At 29.4% G+C, this 1577-nt stretch overlaps 1 annotated feature.

Annotated features, from left to right (window-relative positions):
* Nucleotides 908-977: an enhancer, noted in NCBI's record as "active region_26280". NCBI's record gives its function as "activates an Ori minimal core promoter by ATAC-STARR-seq in GM12878 lymphoblastoid cells {active_cell/tissue: GM12878}" and the evidence as "EXISTENCE:reporter gene assay evidence [ECO:0000049][PMID:35858748]".

Consider the following 1577-nt stretch of genomic DNA (forward strand, 5'->3'; position numbering starts at 1 on the left):
TTAAAAACCTAAATATGAAATGGAAAAAATTTCAGAAGAAAACATTTAAAACATGAGAATTGAAAAATAATTTTGCCACAAGACACAAAAATACAAACCATAAAGGAAAATACCAATACATTTTTATACATTAAAAAAACTTTTTGTATCAGAAGATACCATATAAGGGAGAAAAAGTAAGTTACGTAATCAACACAGGATTATAAAATCAACAAAGAATTAATATTCAGCATAGAAAGAGTTCCTACAAATCAATACAAAATGACAGCCTGATAGAAAAATGGTTAAAATATGTAAAAAATCAATTTATAGAGGAGAGAACCTGAATGGCCAATAAATATAAGAAAATATCTCGACCTCACTAGTAATAAGGGGAATACTTGTCAAAATTACAAAAAGGTAATATTTCACATTCATTATGTAGGAAAAGTATTATAAAAAGTAGGTTAAACAGAATTCTCAGATTCTTGTTGGAAATACAAGTTGTTAAAGTAATTAGTATCTAGAGAAGTTGATACTCACGTCTCTAATCTAGATTTTCAGTTTCTAGGTTTATGCCATAAAGAAACTGACACAAGTTCATAAAAAAGAATATTTATTGTTCTAATGAAGAGCAAGAAAAAGTTCAAATCCAACAGTTGAAGGAAAGATAAATAAATTGTATGTACATATATACACATAATATATATATATGTGTAACATAGGTATTTTGGATTTAAAAACTTGTGTTACAAAATTAATGAGAGGCCATTAGGCTGAGATGGGTTTAGGCCTTAGGTCCTACATAAGCAAACTGAAACCCAACTCATTGTAAATAGTGAAATGAAACTTTTAGCTTAACCAATCAGAAACTTCCAACTATATAAGCAAACTGAAACCCAACTCATCGTAAATAGCAAAATGAAACTTTTAGCTTAACTGATCAGATACTGCCAACTAACCCTTAACTAGGGACTTTCCACTTTAATGAATCAAATATTTTCTTTGTCTTGCTTCCATGAGCACCTTATAAAAGTTTTGCCCTCACACCCTCTTTCTAAAGTGCTAAACTGCTTGTAATTCATGAATTGTTAAATGTTCAAAAAACTCATTAAAATTTTAATATGTCTAAGTTTTGGTTACAATTACATAAATATATGGCATAGAAGGAATTTTAGATGCTAAGTTTTGTTTTTTAAAAAATAAATTCTCCTTGTAGTATGGGAGCAGAAAAGAAAATAAATAATAAAATAAAAAAATAAATTCGACTTCTGCTTTCATCTCTGACACATAGAGGGCTTGGAAATAGTCACTTCCATCTTTACAAAAAAAATCTTGAACAAAATGAAAAATCAATTGCTTTTCTTGAAACCTTCAGAAAATTGAGGTCAGAAAATAAACTGTCATCCTGAAATCTGGAGACACCAGCAAATACAGAGAATCATAGCTGAGATCAGCTTACCTGGACCAGAATCCATAGGAGCAATAAACTGATAATGACACTTAAATGGTAATTTTGACATGCTGACCTAAAGGAAGAAGCTGAGGAACAAAGTATAATTTTAAAGAGTTTACTTAAGCCAAGGTAAGAACAGTTG

Source organism: Homo sapiens, chromosome 7, assembly GCF_000001405.40.
Source record: "Homo sapiens chromosome 7, GRCh38.p14 Primary Assembly".
NCBI classification, from domain to species: Eukaryota; Metazoa; Chordata; class Mammalia; order Primates; family Hominidae; genus Homo; species Homo sapiens.